Source organism: Homo sapiens, chromosome 15 (assembly GCF_000001405.40).
Source record: "Homo sapiens chromosome 15, GRCh38.p14 Primary Assembly".
Classification (NCBI taxonomy): Eukaryota; Metazoa; Chordata; class Mammalia; order Primates; family Hominidae; genus Homo; species Homo sapiens.
The window spans coordinates 22,822,694-22,839,908 of record NC_000015.10 but is presented as its reverse complement, the minus strand read 5'-3'; the positions used below and the strand labels follow the sequence as shown (position 1 = coordinate 22,839,908).

Genomic DNA, 17,215 nt, shown 5'->3' with positions numbered 1-17,215 from the left:
ACCTCTCACTTGGCTAATAATTTTTCAAAGCAGTACTGTACTTATAAATATTACAGAACCTAAATCTCCAACCCTAACTATGCAACAATATTAGTTATAAATTACAATTTTAACTTACATGTAAGTTTAATATGGTCTCTCTTATGAAAAAAAGGCTGGGAGAGGTTAGAGATGACTTATTCACTCTCATTTCCTCGTAAATACCACCCTTTATTCTCATTTAAAGTCTTAAACCCTGGCCGAGTAGCTCCAGCCTAGAAAGAAGAAAACACAGAAGTAGGCAAAAGACTTAAAGTTACTAAGTACGTTTTATAATTTGGTTACTAGCCTTCATACTCATTTTGCCAACCAATCAACATAAAACCTACTCAATCGAGCACAACTACTGCTTCGACAGGCAGCTTACTGGAATGGAAACTCTCGACTCTGATATTTCCTCTTACTAAAAAAAGTATTAACCGGGCACATGGCTATACACAGGATTTCTAGAAACAGAACTTAACATGCAGTCCTGTATTAAATGAACTAACAACCTAGAAAAGAAATTAAGGAGGCACAAACACCAAACTAAACACACAGTTTTGAGCAATTGTATAGAGAGGGAAATAGGATTCCGTGATTTTATAAAAGGAAATTAAAACAGTCAGGCTCAAAACGTCACAGCAGACTTCTAAGGCTTGTTTAACTGTCAGTTATGATCCCCGCAGCAGCTGAAGCCACCTTCTAAAACTCACCAAGACAAATGAAATTATTTTAATGAACTTAATGAACATGCGTCCCCGACATGGCCAACGAGCCAGGCTTCCGTGGGACTGAACGGCAATCCGATTCACGGTGGGTTTCCTCACTGAGGATTACAGGAAAACCGCTTCAGAACACCCGGAAAGGAAAGTTGCCCGAAGAACCCTTCTCCGACACAAGGCGGGCTGGCTCGCCACCAAGTCAGCCCCTTCGCGCTTGCCTGAAAGGAAGGAGTGGCGACCTCACCCTAGTCGGCCGGCCGGCCGCGCGGCTTCCCCTCGCCGGCGCAGCCTTGGGCACCGCGGCTCACACCCCCACACAGGCCGCCCAGTCCTGCGCTCGCACGGCCACCGCCTTCGTCGCCGTCCAGTGGGAGATGCGAGCATTCGGGGCTGAAGCCGTTCGCACCGCCTCCTCCATGGAGAAGCGCCGAGGAAAACCTGCCAAGGACAACCTCCGGCACCGCCGTCACCACCGCTGCCGGGACCTAGGGCCGGCGCCGGAAAACCTAGGCGCGGCTAAATGACGCAAGAGGCCTCGCGCGCACGCGCAGTGCCGCACCACGTACACCCCGCCCCCGGGGCTCTCTCCCGCCGGGTTCCGGTTCCTTTACAAGGCCCCAGTCGGCTGAGCGCGGAGGGCGGGGCGCGTAGAGTGTGGGGACGGGGGCGGGGCGCAGGATCCAGGCGGGACCTGGCGAGGGACGAAGCTGGAAGCGTAGTTAAGCAGTACAGTATGCTGCCAGGTGGCGTTGGCCGATCAGTTCAAAATCAAACTCCGGCGTGGCCCTTATTTAAAACGAGGATTCCGGGCCCGGCGCTGTGGCTCACGCCTGTAATCCCAGCACTTTGGGAGACCAAGGCGGGCGGATCCCGAGGTCAGCAGATCGAGACCATCCTGGCTAACACGGTGAAACCCCGCCCCTACTAAAAATACAAAAAATTAGCCGGGCGTGGTGGCGGGTGCTTGTAGTCCCAGCTACTCGGGACACTGAGGCAGGAGAAGGGCGCGAACCCGGGAGGCGGAGCTTGCAGTGATCGGAGATCCCGCCACTGCACTCCAGCCTGGGCGACAGAGCGAGACTCCGTCTCAAAAAAAAATAGAATAAATGAGGGTTCCGGCCGGGCGCGGTGGCTCACACCTGTAATCACAGCACTTTGGGAGGCCGAGGCGGGCAGATCACGAGGTCAGGAGTTCGAGACCAACGTGACCAACATGGGGAAACCGCATCTCTACTAAAAATACAAAAATTAGCTGGACGTGTTGGTGCGCGCCAGTAATCTCAGCTACTCCAGAGGCTGAGGCAGGGGAATCGCTTGAACTCGGGAGGCGGAGGTTGCAGTGAGCCGAGATCAGCCACTGCACTCCACCTGGGCGACAGAGCGAGACTCCTTCTCAAAAATAAATAAATAAATAAAATAAAATGAGGGTTCCCAGGGGCAGTCACAGTGTGAAGCTGCATTTAATTGGTGTCCCCGGGCGATGCCAAAGGGGAACAGAGCTCCCAAGAGGGCAAGAAGCGGGGGAAAGGGTGGGTCCAAAGCTGGGGGCGGGACGGGGCGGGGCCGAAATAGCTGTGGTAGTTCGACGACCGCTGGGCCCTTCCTTACTGACCCGGTCGCGGAATAGATGTGAGGTTGACGTTTGGTGAAAGCCCGCCTCGAGACACTGAGAGCAGATTGATTGAATGATTGATTTTGAGACAGAGTCTCGCTCTGTCGCCAGACTGGAGTGCAGTGGCACGATCTCGGCTCACTGCAAACTCCGCCTCCCCGGTTCAAGCGATTCTCCTGCCTCAGCCTCCCGAATAGCTGGGACTGTAGGCGCGCGCCGCCACGCCCGGCTAATTTTTTTTTTTTTTTAAGACGGAGTCTTTCTTGTCACCCAGGCTGGAGCGCAGTGACACGATCTCGGCTCACTGCAACCTCTGCCTCCTGGGTTCAATGAAGCCATTCTCCTGCCTCAGCCTCCCCAGTAGCTGGGATTACAGGTGCACACCACCACGCCCAGCTAATTTTTGTATTTTTAGTAGAGATGGGGTTTCACCATGTTGGCCAGGCTGGTTTCGAACTCCTGACCTCGTGATCCGCCCGCCTCGGCCTCCCAAAGTGCTGGGATTACAGGTGTGAGCCACCACACCCAGCCAATTTTTGCATTTTTATTAGAGACAGGGTTTCACCATGTTGGCCAGGATGGTCTCGATCTCTTGACCTCGTGATTCACCCGCCTCAGCCTCCCAAAGCGCAGATTTATTTTTCATGAGATGTATAGGAAACTAACTGTTAGGCTATCCTGCCTTGGCTCCTCCTGGAAAGGAGAAATTCCTTGGGATCCACCAACGTGGTTTCTGCAAAAGTAGTCAAAGACAGAGCTCATTTGTAAGAAGCAAAGAGTAGCCAGCTAGAGTTAGATCTCCTAGTAAATCAATGATTCCTTGGTTGCAGGTGTAGAGTCCCTTAGGAATGTTGTTCCAGGTTGTGACTAGACACAAAAACACTATTATATGAAATTCAAATCATGTGGGGGGAGGATCTTTATAAAATGAATTATGCACTTTTTGAAACAAAACACCAAATATCATTTGTCCTTTTCAGGCTCTAATCCTATTGGACTGTTGTGTTCTAGACTGTATACACAGCCCCTGACCACTCTGGTTTTGGTTTAGGTCACTATGCAGCTTCTAATTTTAAAGCTTTTAATCTGCCGTGAGCCTAGCAATCATCTTAAAACTGGCTCAGAGGACCTATTACTTGCATCTCAGAACTGGCTCAGAGGATCTATTACTTTCTTTGGTCTCAGCCATGTTTTGGCTAGTTGACACTCTCAGATAAGGAATTCCATTGAATATTGAAAGACGGTTGACAAGTTGGTCTCAGGTGATGTGGTAGATTGATGAAAAATGGCTCCAATTTCCCACACATTTTGCAGTGACTTTGCAGCTCCCCTCTATTTCCTGAATCTGTACTGGCCTTGGGCTTTGGCCAAGAACATGTGGCAGTTCCAGACTAAATTATGATGCCTGGACTAGCCTGCTGGAGGAGGGGACCACATGGGGCAAGGCAAGCAGCAAATCCACCTAGGTAAATGCTGGCTGACTACCATTGAGACCAGCCACTGACCAAAACTGCCCCATTAACCCATAAACACATGAGGAAGGATAAATTACTATTGTCTGAGCCACTTATTTTGGGGTAGATTGGTATGTAGCAATAACTAACTGATACAGATGCCAACAAATACCTCTAGGACAGAGGTCCCCAAGAGTGCGAACCTTATTGTGAATTGTGCATGCGAGGGATCTAGGTTGCACGCTCCTTATGAGAATCTAAATAATGCCTGATGATCTGAGGTGGGACACTTTCATCCCGAAAACATCCTCCCCGCGCCCCCCTTCCCCAGCGTCTGTGGAAAAATTGTCTTCTATGAAATCAGTCCTTGGTACCAAAAGGGTTGGGGACTGCTGCTCTAGGAGGCAGATGAGTAATAAAGTAGTGGTTTGTTCACATGAACAGGAATGCTTAGGTGTCGATATGTTAATTTAACCTAACGAACAAATTTGCTTGTCACTCCTTTCTGCCAGCTGGAGCTCCACCTCATCTAATCAGCTTTCTGTCATTATTTGGACCTCCCACCGGACACCTCCCCCGACACTGCACAGTGCATTGTCTTTATAAGTCTATATATACCTTGCTAATATGCTGCAGGCTTCTTACATGCCCACATCACTTCTCCAGCCCGTGATGTTGTACATCTTGTATACTCTGAGTGTTCAAGCAGTTGTCATGAGATATTTTTAAGGTTTTAAAACTCTAACTCCTTCTCATACACTACTGGTGGAATTGTAAAATGGGACAATTTCCTTGGAAAATTGGTTGACAGTTTCTTAAAAAGTTAAACATACACCGACCAAATGACCTGGCAGTTCTACTCCTGAGTATTTACTCAACAGAAATGTATCCATAAAAATACTTGCAGGCCGGGTGCGGTGGCTCACACCTGTAATCCCAGCCCTTTGGGAGGCCGAGATGGGCGGATCACGAGGTTAGGAGATTGAGACCATCCCGGCTAACACGGTGAAACCCCGTCTCTACTAAAATTACAAAAATTAGCTGGGTGTGGTGGTGGCGGCACCTATAGTAACAGCTACTCGGGAGGCTGAGACAGGAGAACAGCGGGAACCCGGGAGGCGGAGCTTGCAGTGAGCTGAGATCGCACCATTGCACTCCAGCCTGGGGAACAAGAGCAAAACTCCTAAAAAAAAAGCCTCAAAAAAAAAAAAAAAGGCAGGGGGATGAACTATTGATACATGCCTTAACATAGCTGAGTCTCAAAATAATTAGTAAGTGAAACAAGCAGACCAAAAAAACAGTGTGTACTCAACGATCACATTTATATAAAAGCCTAGGAAATGGAAGCCCATGTATAGTTACAGAAAGCAGATGAGTGGGCCCCTAGGAGTAGAGGAGGCAAGGAGGGTGAAGGGATTACAGTGGGTCAAAAAGAAACTTTGGTGTGATGGGGATGTTCGGTGTTTTGTTTATGGCAATGTTTTCATCATAAGACACTTGTCAAAACTTACCAAATCACACATTTTATATATGTGCAGTTTATTATATGTCAATTATACCCCAATAAAGCTGTTGAAATCTTGTCATTGTTACAGAGGCACAGAAGCAAGAAGTCTGGCCTGTGCTTCTGTAACAATGACAAGACTTCAACAGCTTTAAAACAGTATTTTTAAAAATCATGTATTAGGAAATCAAATAGTTTTCTTATGTATAAATTGTTCCCCAATTACTCTTGTATGTTTTGGTTTTGTTACAACAGAAGCATCAAAACAGCAAAGCAGATGATCATTTTTTCTTTACCTCAACCCCTATCACTAGTTAAAATTGCCCTTTGTCCTTCCAAAATGAATAGTGGCATTCCCTGTTGCGGGAAGTCAGGGACCCCCAAAGGGAGGGACCGACTGAAGCCATGGCAGAAGAACGTGGATTGTGAAGATTTCATGGACATTTATTAGTTCCCCAAATTAATACTTTTATAATTTCTTATGCTTGTCTTTACTGCAATCTCTAAACATAAATTGTGAAGATTTCATGGACACTTATCACTTCCCCAATCAATATTCTTGTGATTTCCTATGCCTGTCTTTACTTTAATCTCTTAATCCTGTCATCTCGTAAGCCGAGGAGGACGTATGTCGCCTCAGGACCATGTGATAATTGAGTTAACTGCACAAATTGTAGAGCATGTGTGTTTGAACAATATGAAATCTGGGCACCTTGAAAAAAGAACAGGATAACAGCAATTGTTCAGGGAATAAGAGAGCTAACCTTAAACTCTGACCACCAGTGAGCCCGGCAGAACAGAGCCATATTTCTCTTCTTTCAAAAGCAAATGGGAGAAATATCGCTGAATTCTTTTTCTCAGCAAGGAACATCCCTGGGAAAGAGAATACATGCCTGGGGGTGGGTCTCTAAACTGGCCCCCCTGGGCATGGCCGTCTTTTATGGTCTGTAGACTGCAGGGGTGAAACAGACCCCAGTCTCCCATAGTGCTCCCAGGCTTATTAGGAAGAAGAAATTCCTGCCTAATAAATTTTGGTCAGACCGGTTGCTCTCAAAACCCTGTCTCCTGATGTTATCAATGACAATGGTGCCCGAAACTTCATTAGCAATTTTAATTTTGCCCCGTCCTGTGGTCCTGTGATCTCACCCTGCCTCCATTTGCCTTGTGATATTCTATTACCTTGTAAAGTACTTGATGTCTGTGACCCACACCTATTCGCACACTCCCTCCCCTTTTGAAAGTCCCTAATAAAAACTTGCTGGTTTTGTGGCTTGGGGGGCATCACAAAACCTACTAACATGTGATGTCTCCCCCGGACGCCCAGCTTTAAAATTTCTCCCTTTTGTACTCTGTCCCTTTATTTCTCAAACCGGCTGATGCTTAGGGAAAATAGAAAAGAACCTACGTGACTATCGGGGCAGGTTCCCCAATAATTCCCTGCCATTTTAAAGCATTTCTATTATATGAATACTTTTCAATTAATATTATTTGGTTTATTCAAGGCCATCAATGACCTACAAATGTAGTAGGGCATTTTCCAAAACATTTGTTGGGGGTGAGCAGGGAGAAACTTTCTGAAAAATATAGGAATAACTCAAGGTGAATTGAGGTAGAACAGTGGGATAGTGATTAAAAGCCAGGAGTTGGCTTTTGTGAACTGCCTCACTTGGTAAAATGGTAAGTGGATGTGGTAAGCAGAAAGCCCAAAGATATCCACGTCCTCACCTTGTAACCTGTGACTGTGCCACCTTCCATGGCAAAAGGGGCTCTGCAGAGGCAACTAAGGATCTTGAGAGAGGGAGCTGACCCTGGATTGTCCATGTGGGCCCAAAGCAGTCATGAAGGTCCTTCCAAGAGGGTGACAGGAGTGTCAGAGTCAGAGAGTAAGCTATGATGATGGATGAGTGGCGAGAGAGATGACATTGCTGGCTTCAAAGATGGAGGAAGGAGCCACGAGGCAAGATACAAAGGCGGCCTCTAGAAACCAAAAGAGCAGGGATGAGACTCTTCCCAGGAGCCTCCAGAGGGAAGTAATCCTGTCTGCACCTTGATTTTAGCCCAGCAAAGCTTGTGTGGAACTTCTAACCTCCAGAATTGTAAGATGATACGCGTGTGTTGTTTTAAGCTACAAGGTATGTAACTTGTGAAGAGCCGTAATAAAAAACTAACACAATAAGTATGCCAAATTAAGGGAAGGAGAAGATGCTGGGATCCCCCCAATGTCTTTGTCAAAAATAAAACAGATTCAGTGTTATAGATGAGCAACCTGGTCTGACCTTCTCTCCACCCTCTGGTCCATCATCTCAGTGATTTTCACACTCATTATGTTTACTTGGTCACCACCACCGCTGTCCTGCTTGCCACCATCCAGTTCCACACCTCTTTCTCATGTGCTCGGCTGGAATGAATCCTGTCCTCTTTGGACTGGTAATAGAGAGGTACCTAGATCTTTTTTTTTTTAGACGGAGTTTCGCTCTTGCTGCCCAGGCTGGAGTGCAGTGGCGTGATCTCAGCTCACCGCAACCTCTGCCTCCCGGGTTCAAGCAATTCTCCTGCCTCAGCCTCCCGAATAGCTGGGATTACAGGCGTGCACCACCACGCTCAGCTAATTATGTATTTTTAGTAGAGACGGGGGTTTCTCCATGTTGGTCAGGCTGGTCTCAAACCCCTGACCTCAGGTAATCCACCGGCCTTGGCCTCCGAAAGTGCTGGGATTACAGGCGTGAGCCACTGTGCCTGGCTGCAGAGGTACCTAGATCTTTTATATCTGTTTCTTGTCTGTGTCTCACCTCTCCAACTAAAAACCTTTTTAAAACTATCATGTGAGATTCAAACTAATGGTGAACAAGTAAGTGTGACTAATACTACAACAAACATGCTGACAATGTCAAAACGAAGGGTCATCAGATGGATGGGATGGATGTAACTAAGCAACACAGAAATTCTAGAACAAGTCCCTTGCAGGGAAGGCTTGGCTAGCAGCCAGCACAAACTACTCTATAGTAGTAACCAACCAATGCAAGCTTTTGTTCAATGACAGCAGAATTTGGCATTAATACACTTCACAGCCCCAAAAACCTATCTGGAGTTATCCATAGATGCATTTGGTGATTTCATAAAATGTTTGTTCTTGTTTTCTGTATAAGTATACTTTGATCAAAATGTGAATAATTAAATCTTTTGGGATAGAGACTAAGAAAAAAATCTTACTCATTTTTTCTCATTTGATAAAATAACTTATAGGACACCAGTCTGAGCAACATAACTAGACCCTGTCTCTACAAAAAAATTAAAAAATTACCCAGGTGTGGAGGCACAGGCCTGTAGTCCTAGCTACCGGGGAGGCTGACGCAGGAGGGTCGCTTGAGCCCAGCAGTTTGAGGCTGCAGTGAGCTATGACTGTAAGAGAGTGAGACCCTGTCTCTCAAAAAAAAAAAAAAAAACCAAAACAAAGAAAATTATAGGACACTAAAGAAGATCAGCAACAAGATTTCTAATGATGCTTGAAGTATGAAAATGCGTTATAATTGTCTCATTTTCTATGGGCTAAAAATGTAAAATGATATGTTATACAACTCAAAAACATGTCAAAGGTACTAACATATTAAAATAGAGCTGGTTTTATTTAATACTATCACTTCATTGGATCAAGAGACAGTCGCAGGACAGGGAATTTCTGCATACATCATGGATTTGCTCCCTAAGGTAGATGCACAGGTAGACGGTTTCTTTTTCTTTTTCTTTTTTTTTCCAAGACGGAGTTTCGCTCTTGTCGTCCAGGCTAGAGTGCAGTGGCACGATCTCGGCTCCCTGCAACCTCCACCTCCCGGGTTTAAGTGATTCTCCTGCCTCAGCCTCTGGAGTAGCTGGGATTACAGGCACACACCACCACGCACAACTAATTTTTGTATTTTTAGTAGAGACGGGGTTTCACCATGTTGGCCAGGCTGGTCTCGAACTCCTGACCTCGTGATCTGCCTGCCTTGGCCTCCTGAAGTGCTGGGATTATAGGCGTGAGCCACCGCACCTGGCCTTTTTTGTTTTGTTTTGTTTTGTTTTTGAGACGGAGTTTTGCTCTTGTTGCCCAGGCTGGAGTGCAATGGTGTGATCTCGGCTCACTGCAACCTCTGCCTCTCAGGTTCAAGTGATTCTCCTGCCTCGGCCTCCTGAGTAGCTGGGATTACAGGCATGCACCACCACCTCTGGCTAATTTTGTATTTTTAGCAGAGACAGGGTTTCTCCATGTTGGTCAGGCTACTCTCAAACTCCCGACCTCAGGTGATCCGCCCGCCTCAGCCTCCCAAAGCACTGGGATTACAGGTGTGAGCCACCACACCTGGCCCACAGGTAGACATTTTCTACATTGTTATAGAGATCTAGAGGCTAGTCATTTCTGTCTTTTTTTTTTTTGAGATGGAGTCTCGCTCTGTTGTCCAGGCTGGAGTGCAGTGCTGTGATCTCGGTCACTGCAACCTCTGCCTCCCAAGTTCAAGTGATTCTCCTGCTTCAGCCTGCTGAGTACCTGGGACTACAGATGTGCACCACCATGCCTGTCTAATTTTTGTTATTTTTTAGTAGAGATGGGGTTTTACCATGTTGACCAGGCTGGTCTCAAACTCCTGGCCTCAAGTGTCCCACCCGCCTCAGCCCCCTAAAGTGCTGCGATTACAGGCATGAGCCACTGCACCCAGCCTAGGCTACTCATTTCTAAAAAGAGAATAGGAAAAATGGGAGGAACTGGGATGATCTGGAACCTGAGACTACATAAGCATTTCAAGTAAAGGGAAAAAAAAAAATCAACAAATGTTCAGCTAGAAATAAGTTATTTTATTTTAAAACACATACAGATTAATAAATATTACTGGAAAACTTAATAGCCTTTTTATTTACATGAGGCAATAACAACATGCTATGACTACATCTATAAAGCAAAATATAAGCAGGTCTTGGCCACTGACACATGTGTCTATGTATGCTAATTGGAAGCTCCCCAATACATGTCTATGACAAAACTTTTACACAACCAATCAACATTTGACATTTTTTACATCTTCTTCCTCTCATGATTATATTCCATTTTCAAGAAAATAATAGTTATCCTTTGAAAAGGCAAAACGCTCAAGCCACTGAAAAACAGTATCTAAATTTCTGTAAAGTGCAAAAATACTAAGGTGGGGGGCAATTATTATATTCTGACAAATAAATATTCTGAACTTTTCAACATGACCCTTTGGCACTAGTGGTTTGGGAGCCCTGACATTCGCCTGGTGTCAGTTCAGCATCAGGGTTGAGCTGCTTGGAAGCAGGAAGTTCAGCGTCATTTATTACAAATCCAGTGCAACAGAATCCACGTGTTTCACAGGCCATTAAATCTTTTTCAGAATACAGACCTCGGCCGAATGTCAGGAGCACATCACACCATCGGAAGGTGATCTTTCTGTGCGGCTTTCTGAAGTCCCTGTTTAATTTCCATATTTTACAATAGAACATATAAAACCCTTTCTTTTAAAACAAAAAAAGGAAAACTAAAGCTTCATGGAATCATGCAAACTTTACACCCAGCACTTCCTTTGCTTTCTCAGCGCATGAGGCTGTGTGTCCTACAGCATGGTCCTGAGCAGACTCCATGGTCCGTGCAAGCGGAGTTTCCACTGTGCCACTCCCAGGCACTTCTGAACACGGTGCTCTCATCTCAGGCCACCAGAACACTGCTGAAAGTGCCGGTGTTTTAGAAACAATTTGAAGAACCATCCCACCCCTTTAGAGGTAGAAAAACTGAGGCACAGAAAGGTTAAGAGACTCACCTATGTTTGCACAATTTAGGGAAAAATAGAGAAAAGAAGAAAAACATCCTCCTCCCTGGCTCATGCTCTGGGCCCTGGATTCTGCTTTTTAAATGCTTTTGGGTACATGTGAAATAGATGTTTATTTACATGATCCTTGTTCTACTGAATATCAACTTTTTACTAGACAACATATTTTGATGTAACAAAGTTACATTTTCTTAAAATATAATTATGTTGTTGCACGTGAGGAATGTGAATGAAACAAATGAGTCGTGGTAGTGGGCCAAATTCTCACTGCTGTTCCTGTAATTCTGAACCTTTTCAAGTATACAATGGAGGTATAAGAATCTGGCCAGATGTGAAACATCACCTATAAGCTAAAGGACAGACCCTTAAAATTCATCACCAGTACAATTGTGAGGTGGAAATGAGGAATACAAAAAATTGAGGTATTTTATATGATAAACTGTCTTGTGGTGTGACTGGTGTACAAATTGGTCTTTTCTTTCCAACTCACATTAACAGAATCTACCTATGAATATGAGTAAAACCTATGAAAAATGAACACGGATATGTCCTTGGGAGGAAGGTCACTGTTAAGGAGTCAATGATACATTTTTGGTCCCTGAGAAGGCAAAACACCAAGACTCCATCCAATCCCGCCTGATGGACGAACAACGCCCTCGGTGTCAGACACCATGAAAAGAACAACTTCAGAACACGGAAGCTAATCCATGCTGTCGGGAACAGACCTTACACTGAAATGTTCTCTTTCTAGTTTCCTGCTTGGTGGCAGGAAGCCTAAGTCAGCATCGAGCAGGTGTCAGGTCGAAGCGGCACAACGGGAGGGGCTCTGGGAACCACCGGAGTACTCTCTCCCCTCTTCTGGGTTAGCTGAGCAGCTTGAAGAAGAGGAATCCCCCGACCAGACAGAAGGGCAGCAGCCTGTGCCCATCACACCTGTTTCCACGGACCAGGTGTCCGTGCACACCTGGGAGACACTGCATCTCCAAAGTCTAGAACTGGCCCCTAGAAGTTGAGCACAACATTTACAAAGAGCTGAGTCATCTAGGAAGAAGGAAAATAAGACGACTGCACAAGTGAACAGTGCTCACTTCTACCAGAAAACAGATGTGAAATCCAAAGAAGAACAAACACCAACATATTACCGCTGGGATGAACTTCTGGAAAGACAACTGGGTGTAGTAAATTGGCTTGAAGAGCAGGAATTGAAAGAATATTCCTTATTGCTGAACAAAGAGCTGCGAAGTATATTCACTAACATTCTGATAGGAAAAGATCTCAATGAGAGCTGAGCAAGGCCACCAGAATACCAAATTCCTCCCCAAAGTCCCCAGCATGGGCAGGGCCTCACTCCATGTGGCACTGGAAGGACTTCCCTCCCCAGCACCTTCTCCACAGAGATGGCATGGTCCTGCCAGCCGGGAAGATGCTCCAGGGGGGCTTTGTGGTGCTGGGTTAGGGTTAGAATCCTTAATTGGCCCTACCTTTGATCAATGAGCAGAACAGGAAGCAATCCTTTCAAATGCAAATATTCAGAGGAGAAAACAAGGCATTGCCCAAGAAGAGGAGAGAAATAGCCTATTTAAGTATCTATCAAGAGAAATCTGCATATTGTGATCAAAACCTTTGATTTTAGAGGATGCTTGAAAACAAGTATACAGTAAGCATCTTTTTTTTCAAAGAATAGTATGATAATGAAAATATTTCAAGTACATGTACTTTTGGAAAGACCACTAAGAGATCTATCCATGTTCTAGGCCCTCCCCCAAAGTTCTCACTTTGGGGCTTTTTCATTTTCAAATGAATGATGAAAACATAATTTTTTAAAATAAATACTATCAAATCAGAAGTTATATGCTCTATATTAAATTTGAAAATTAGACTGTTCAACCACTGGTCATGTCATTTACTTTGAGGCTGGTGTCACGTGCTTGAAAAACAATGGATGATATGAACTTTGTTTCACTGGAAGAAAAGCTATGTATCCTACTGAAGTATCTGCTGAACAGAGGTAAACCTGAAAGATTCTAACTGTCCCAGGACCAGTCACCTTCAAGGGTAGAAGAGCTATTAATACTTTTGAGATTTTGTTTTACTCTAAGAATATTATAGAGAAGATCATCGGGTATCACCTCTCAGTATCAATGGTATAATTGTGGATTAAAATATACTAAGGTACACCAAGAGCTGCCTTTAAACTAAATTTCCCACAAAAGCTGTAGCAACACAAACATGATCATTTTCATGTGACACATGAACTTTCTCATTACACTTGTTAGCCACATGTATTCTTTGAATATCTCACACCCCTTACCTAGGAAACTATTTTTATGCCCAAAAGTATATTGATACTGCTACATTACGTTTTCAGAAAGTTCAGTTCAGTAAGTTAAGGCCTGCATTTCTAAAAGCACTGATGATAAAACACAAAACCTGCAAGAGCCAATAAAAAGAGTAATGGACTTTGAGCATTTGTTAACCATCCATTGAGAGGATTTAAGATTTTTAAAAAATAATGTTGTTGCTGCTCTCAGTTCACAAATCACTGACAACCCATGATCATCATGTACACGTTTACTCCATAAAGGTATTTTTCTCTCTATATTAAACTAGTCTCATTTTATTTAGCCTCTTTACTCAACACTTTAGGAAGCTATTCCTTGAGACTTTAGAAATGTTCTTTTTGCCTACAAAAACACATTTTTTTTCTTACTGAGGAACTTTAATTGGGTACTATTCAATTTTATGTTCTACTTCACCTAATCTACTTTACCCAACCCCATCTTTCAACTTGGCGTAGTTCCCTGCTGAGATAAAACACTGGCCATGAAGTACATGATACCGTGGTGAAATATGTGCATCACTTCATGCTATGCTCCCATTTGGAACACATGGATGGGAACACTATAGACAGAGAATGACCTCTTTGATTCAAATACTGGCATAATTAATGGCTCTTTTGCATTTAAGACACATAATGAGAGGTTAGCTGAGGAACTCTAGGATGCTCTGCCATTGCAAACAACAAGGAGATGGCTACATTTATTGGCTTTTTGTTAGAAAATCTTTCAAAAACTGCATATTGCAATTTGTAGAAGCTAGCCTAACCTCAATTGTGTCCTTTAACTTGTTCCTGTATGACAGGGTACTCGATATATGAGCTATTGAACAGGTACTCTCCCACTTAGCCTTATTATCAAGTTACCTAATTTATTTCTTCTGAATGGCCATGAATGCTTGCTGATAAAGAATGTGGATATATTTGATACTGGATCCCAGGTAACACAGATCGAATACAAATAAAATAATACCTCATGCTACTTAAATCAACTGTCTTTAATTGGACAATAATCACATGTTAAAGGGGTCAATTTGCTCTAATGTGTCTTTAGTCTTGACTATCTTCCAGTGAATATACAGTCATGAACCACGTAACCATGTTTCTGTCAAAGACATACCACTTACATGACGGTGGTCCCATAACATTGTAATACCATAGTTTTACTGTACCTTTCCTATGTTTGTAAACACAAATACTCACCACTGTGTTACAATTGCCTGCGGTATTCAGTGCGGTCACATGCTGTACAGGTGTGTGGCCCAGGAGCAACAGGCTGTACCATCTGGCCTGGGTGGGTCATAGGTGTCCCATCTAGGTTTGTATAAGTGCACTCCATGATGTTCACACAATAAAGTCACCTTACAATGCATTTCTCAGAATGTTTCCCTATCATTAAGTGACATGTGACTGTATTATTTCTAACTGCCTTATACATTTGTAACTTGAATATTGAAATATTAAAGCATACTCGAAGTTGCATTATTCTAATCTAAGAACATATACACATTAAGAGTCAAATTAAGTTAATAATTCAAGTGATAAAGGCACTGAAATTGATTTGAGCTATTGAAAAGTCATCCTGCCAGTGGAACACTACCTCATGTTCATTAACTCTTCTCTCTCTCTCTATTTACTATTAAAATGTCTTGGGTGGGGGTGGGGGTCGAAGAGTCAACTTGTCAGAGGATTAAAAACAATTCAATGTATATGCCTCTTATTTGGATGACATACTTGAATGTTATACATGCTTAATGCAAACTAACACAACTACAGACACATTCACTGTACAGTGCCAGAGTTCAAGACAACAATCTCTCATTCCCAAAGTAATCTAAGTAAAAATATCTCTGCTATCATGTAACAACTAACCAGAAAGAGCCCATCTTTTTCTGTTTAAATAATGTTAAAATGTTTTAAAAGAAGAGAATATTCATGAAAGCTTCCAGGTTAATGGAAATGAAAATGAGATTCGTCTCATCAGAGAGAGATGGTGCCAGGCAACCGTTGGGGACGTTTGGGCTGCAGAGGGCTGGCTGGGCCTCTGCTCTGGTGCTGAGCCATGCTCCCCGCTATCCACCAGACCACCTGTTACTATCCAGTCAATTCTAACACCATGATCGAGGACCTCTTCTACTTCACATCCAATCACGGCCAGAAACCACCTCCAATGCCTATTCCTCGAACCATCCAAGCTCCTATTGCAATCTAGTCTGTTTTCATATTAGATTTGTTCATCTCCCCAAGGTTGAAATTGAACTCTTTGAACACCTGTATAAGGACAATCCCCACGGAGACGGTCGTGAATCCACAGGCCATCCCCAAGAAGTCCACCAGGCCCACGTTGCTCCACTCCCGGAAGAGGATGGCTGAGGCCAGCAGGACCAGCGTGGTAAACACGACGTAGTAGATGGCCCCGAACACCGAGGAGTCGAAGCACTCCAGCGCCTTGTTGATGTACCTGAACTGGACGATGATGCTGCAGCCGAGCACGGCCAGGAGTACCAGGCACAGGCAGAGGGCTCTCTGACTGGACGGGTTGTTATGCAAGATGTCTTGGGCCGCCAGCCCGATGCCCTTGGTGGAAGGCACGGTGAAACTGCCCAGCAAGGAGCAGATGCTGATGTAGACCATGATGTTGGTGGGCCCATGGGCCGGCGCGATCCAGAAGATGAGCAGCAGCAGCATGAGCAGCACGATGCACAGGTAGCCCACAAACACTGGAACACAGACAGCACACAGTCACCCGGAGCCACCGCCTAGCAGCCGCAACCCAGGAGGTGGACTGGGGCAGCACCCGGGCCCCCACCCGCCACCCGCCACCGGCCTCTACTGCGGCACAGCCCTGGGGAGCATGTGGGCTCTGGCTTGAATTTACCAGACCCACTGATTTCATTCCACAAAAGTATTCCCATCATTTTCACTGTTAAAACATTTACAGCCGGGTTAGCCAGACGCGGTGGCTCATGCCTGTAATCCCAGCACTTTGGGGGGCCAAGGCAGGTGGATCATGAGGTCAGGAGTTCAAGACCAGCCTGGCCAAGATGGTGAAACCCCGTCTCTACTAAAAGTACAAAAATTACAGCGCGCCTGTAATCCCAGCTACTTGGGAGGCTGAGGCAGGAGAATCACTTGAACCTAGGGGGTGGAGGTTGCAGTGAGCCGAGATCAAACCACTGTACTCCAGCCTGGGTGACAGAGCAAGACTCCATCTCAGAAAAAAAAAAAAAAATTTACAGAAGGGCACAATGGCTCACACCTGTAATCCCAGCACTTTGGGAGGCCGAGGTGGGCCGATCAGGAGATCAATACCATCCTGGCTAACTTGGTGAAACCCTGTTCTCCACTAAAAATACAAAAAATTAGCTAGGCGTGGTGGCATGCACCAGTAATCCCAGCTACTCAGGAGGCTGAGGCAGGAGAATCGCTTGAACCCGGGAGGCAGAGGTTGCAGTGAGCCGAGATCACACCACTGCACTCCAGCCTGGGCGACAGAGCAAGAGTCCGTCTCAAAAAAAAAAAAAAAAAAAAAAAAAAAACCATTTACAGCTCCTAAATGTTTACATGGTCCTCTATTGGAACCATTCTCTTTTTTTCTTGTTGTTTGTTTTGTTTTTTTGAGATGGAGTTTTGCTCTTTGTTGCCCAGGCTGGATTGCAATAGCACGATCTCTGCTCACTGCAACCTCCACCTCCCAGGTTCAAGCGATTCTCCTGCTTCAGCCTCCTGAGTAGCTGGGAATACATAAGCACCC

General features: G+C 44.8%; 2 protein-coding genes across 53 annotated transcripts in view, besides 2 other annotated features; both read right to left on the bottom strand.

Annotated features, from left to right (window-relative positions):
* NIPA2 (NIPA magnesium transporter 2) overlaps nucleotides 1–1,243 on the bottom strand; it is a 29,719-nt gene extending 28,476 nt beyond the window's left edge. For 15 of the 51 annotated variants that reach the window (XM_047433154.1, XM_047433156.1, XM_017022646.2 and 12 more), the window contains exons 1-2: nucleotides 988–1,243; nucleotides 119–254 (exon numbers count right to left, since the gene is read on the bottom strand). The gene's annotated coding sequence lies outside the window, so the exon portion shown is untranslated. Of the gene's footprint in view, nucleotides 1–118; nucleotides 255–734 lie in introns of all 51 variants that reach the window. The other 36 variants (XM_017022651.3, XM_017022645.2, XM_047433150.1 and 33 more) reach the window with 6 other exon arrangements.
* Nucleotides 1,117–1,346: an enhancer, noted in NCBI's record as "active region_9156". NCBI's record gives its function as "activates an Ori minimal core promoter by ATAC-STARR-seq in GM12878 lymphoblastoid cells {active_cell/tissue: GM12878}" and the evidence as "EXISTENCE:reporter gene assay evidence [ECO:0000049][PMID:35858748]".
* The window catches only part of NIPA1 (NIPA magnesium transporter 1), a 43,565-nt gene continuing 36,469 nt past the window's right edge, over nucleotides 10,120–17,215 (bottom strand). For both annotated transcript variants that reach the window (NM_001142275.1, NM_144599.5), the window contains exon 5: nucleotides 10,120–16,181. In NM_001142275.1, coding sequence (NP_001135747.1) covers nucleotides 15,670–16,181 — 512 coding nt within the window. In that variant the 3' untranslated portion in view covers nucleotides 10,120–15,669. The remainder of the gene's footprint in view (nucleotides 16,182–17,215) is intronic.
* Nucleotides 12,268–13,020: an enhancer, noted in NCBI's record as "OCT4-NANOG-H3K27ac-H3K4me1 hESC enhancer chr15:23045427-23046179 (GRCh37/hg19 assembly coordinates)". NCBI's record gives its function as "activates a minimal SCP1, AML or CMV promoter by ChIP-STARR-seq in naive H9 embryonic stem cells {active_cell/tissue: H9 hESC(naive)}" and the evidence as "EXISTENCE:reporter gene assay evidence [ECO:0000049][PMID:30033119]".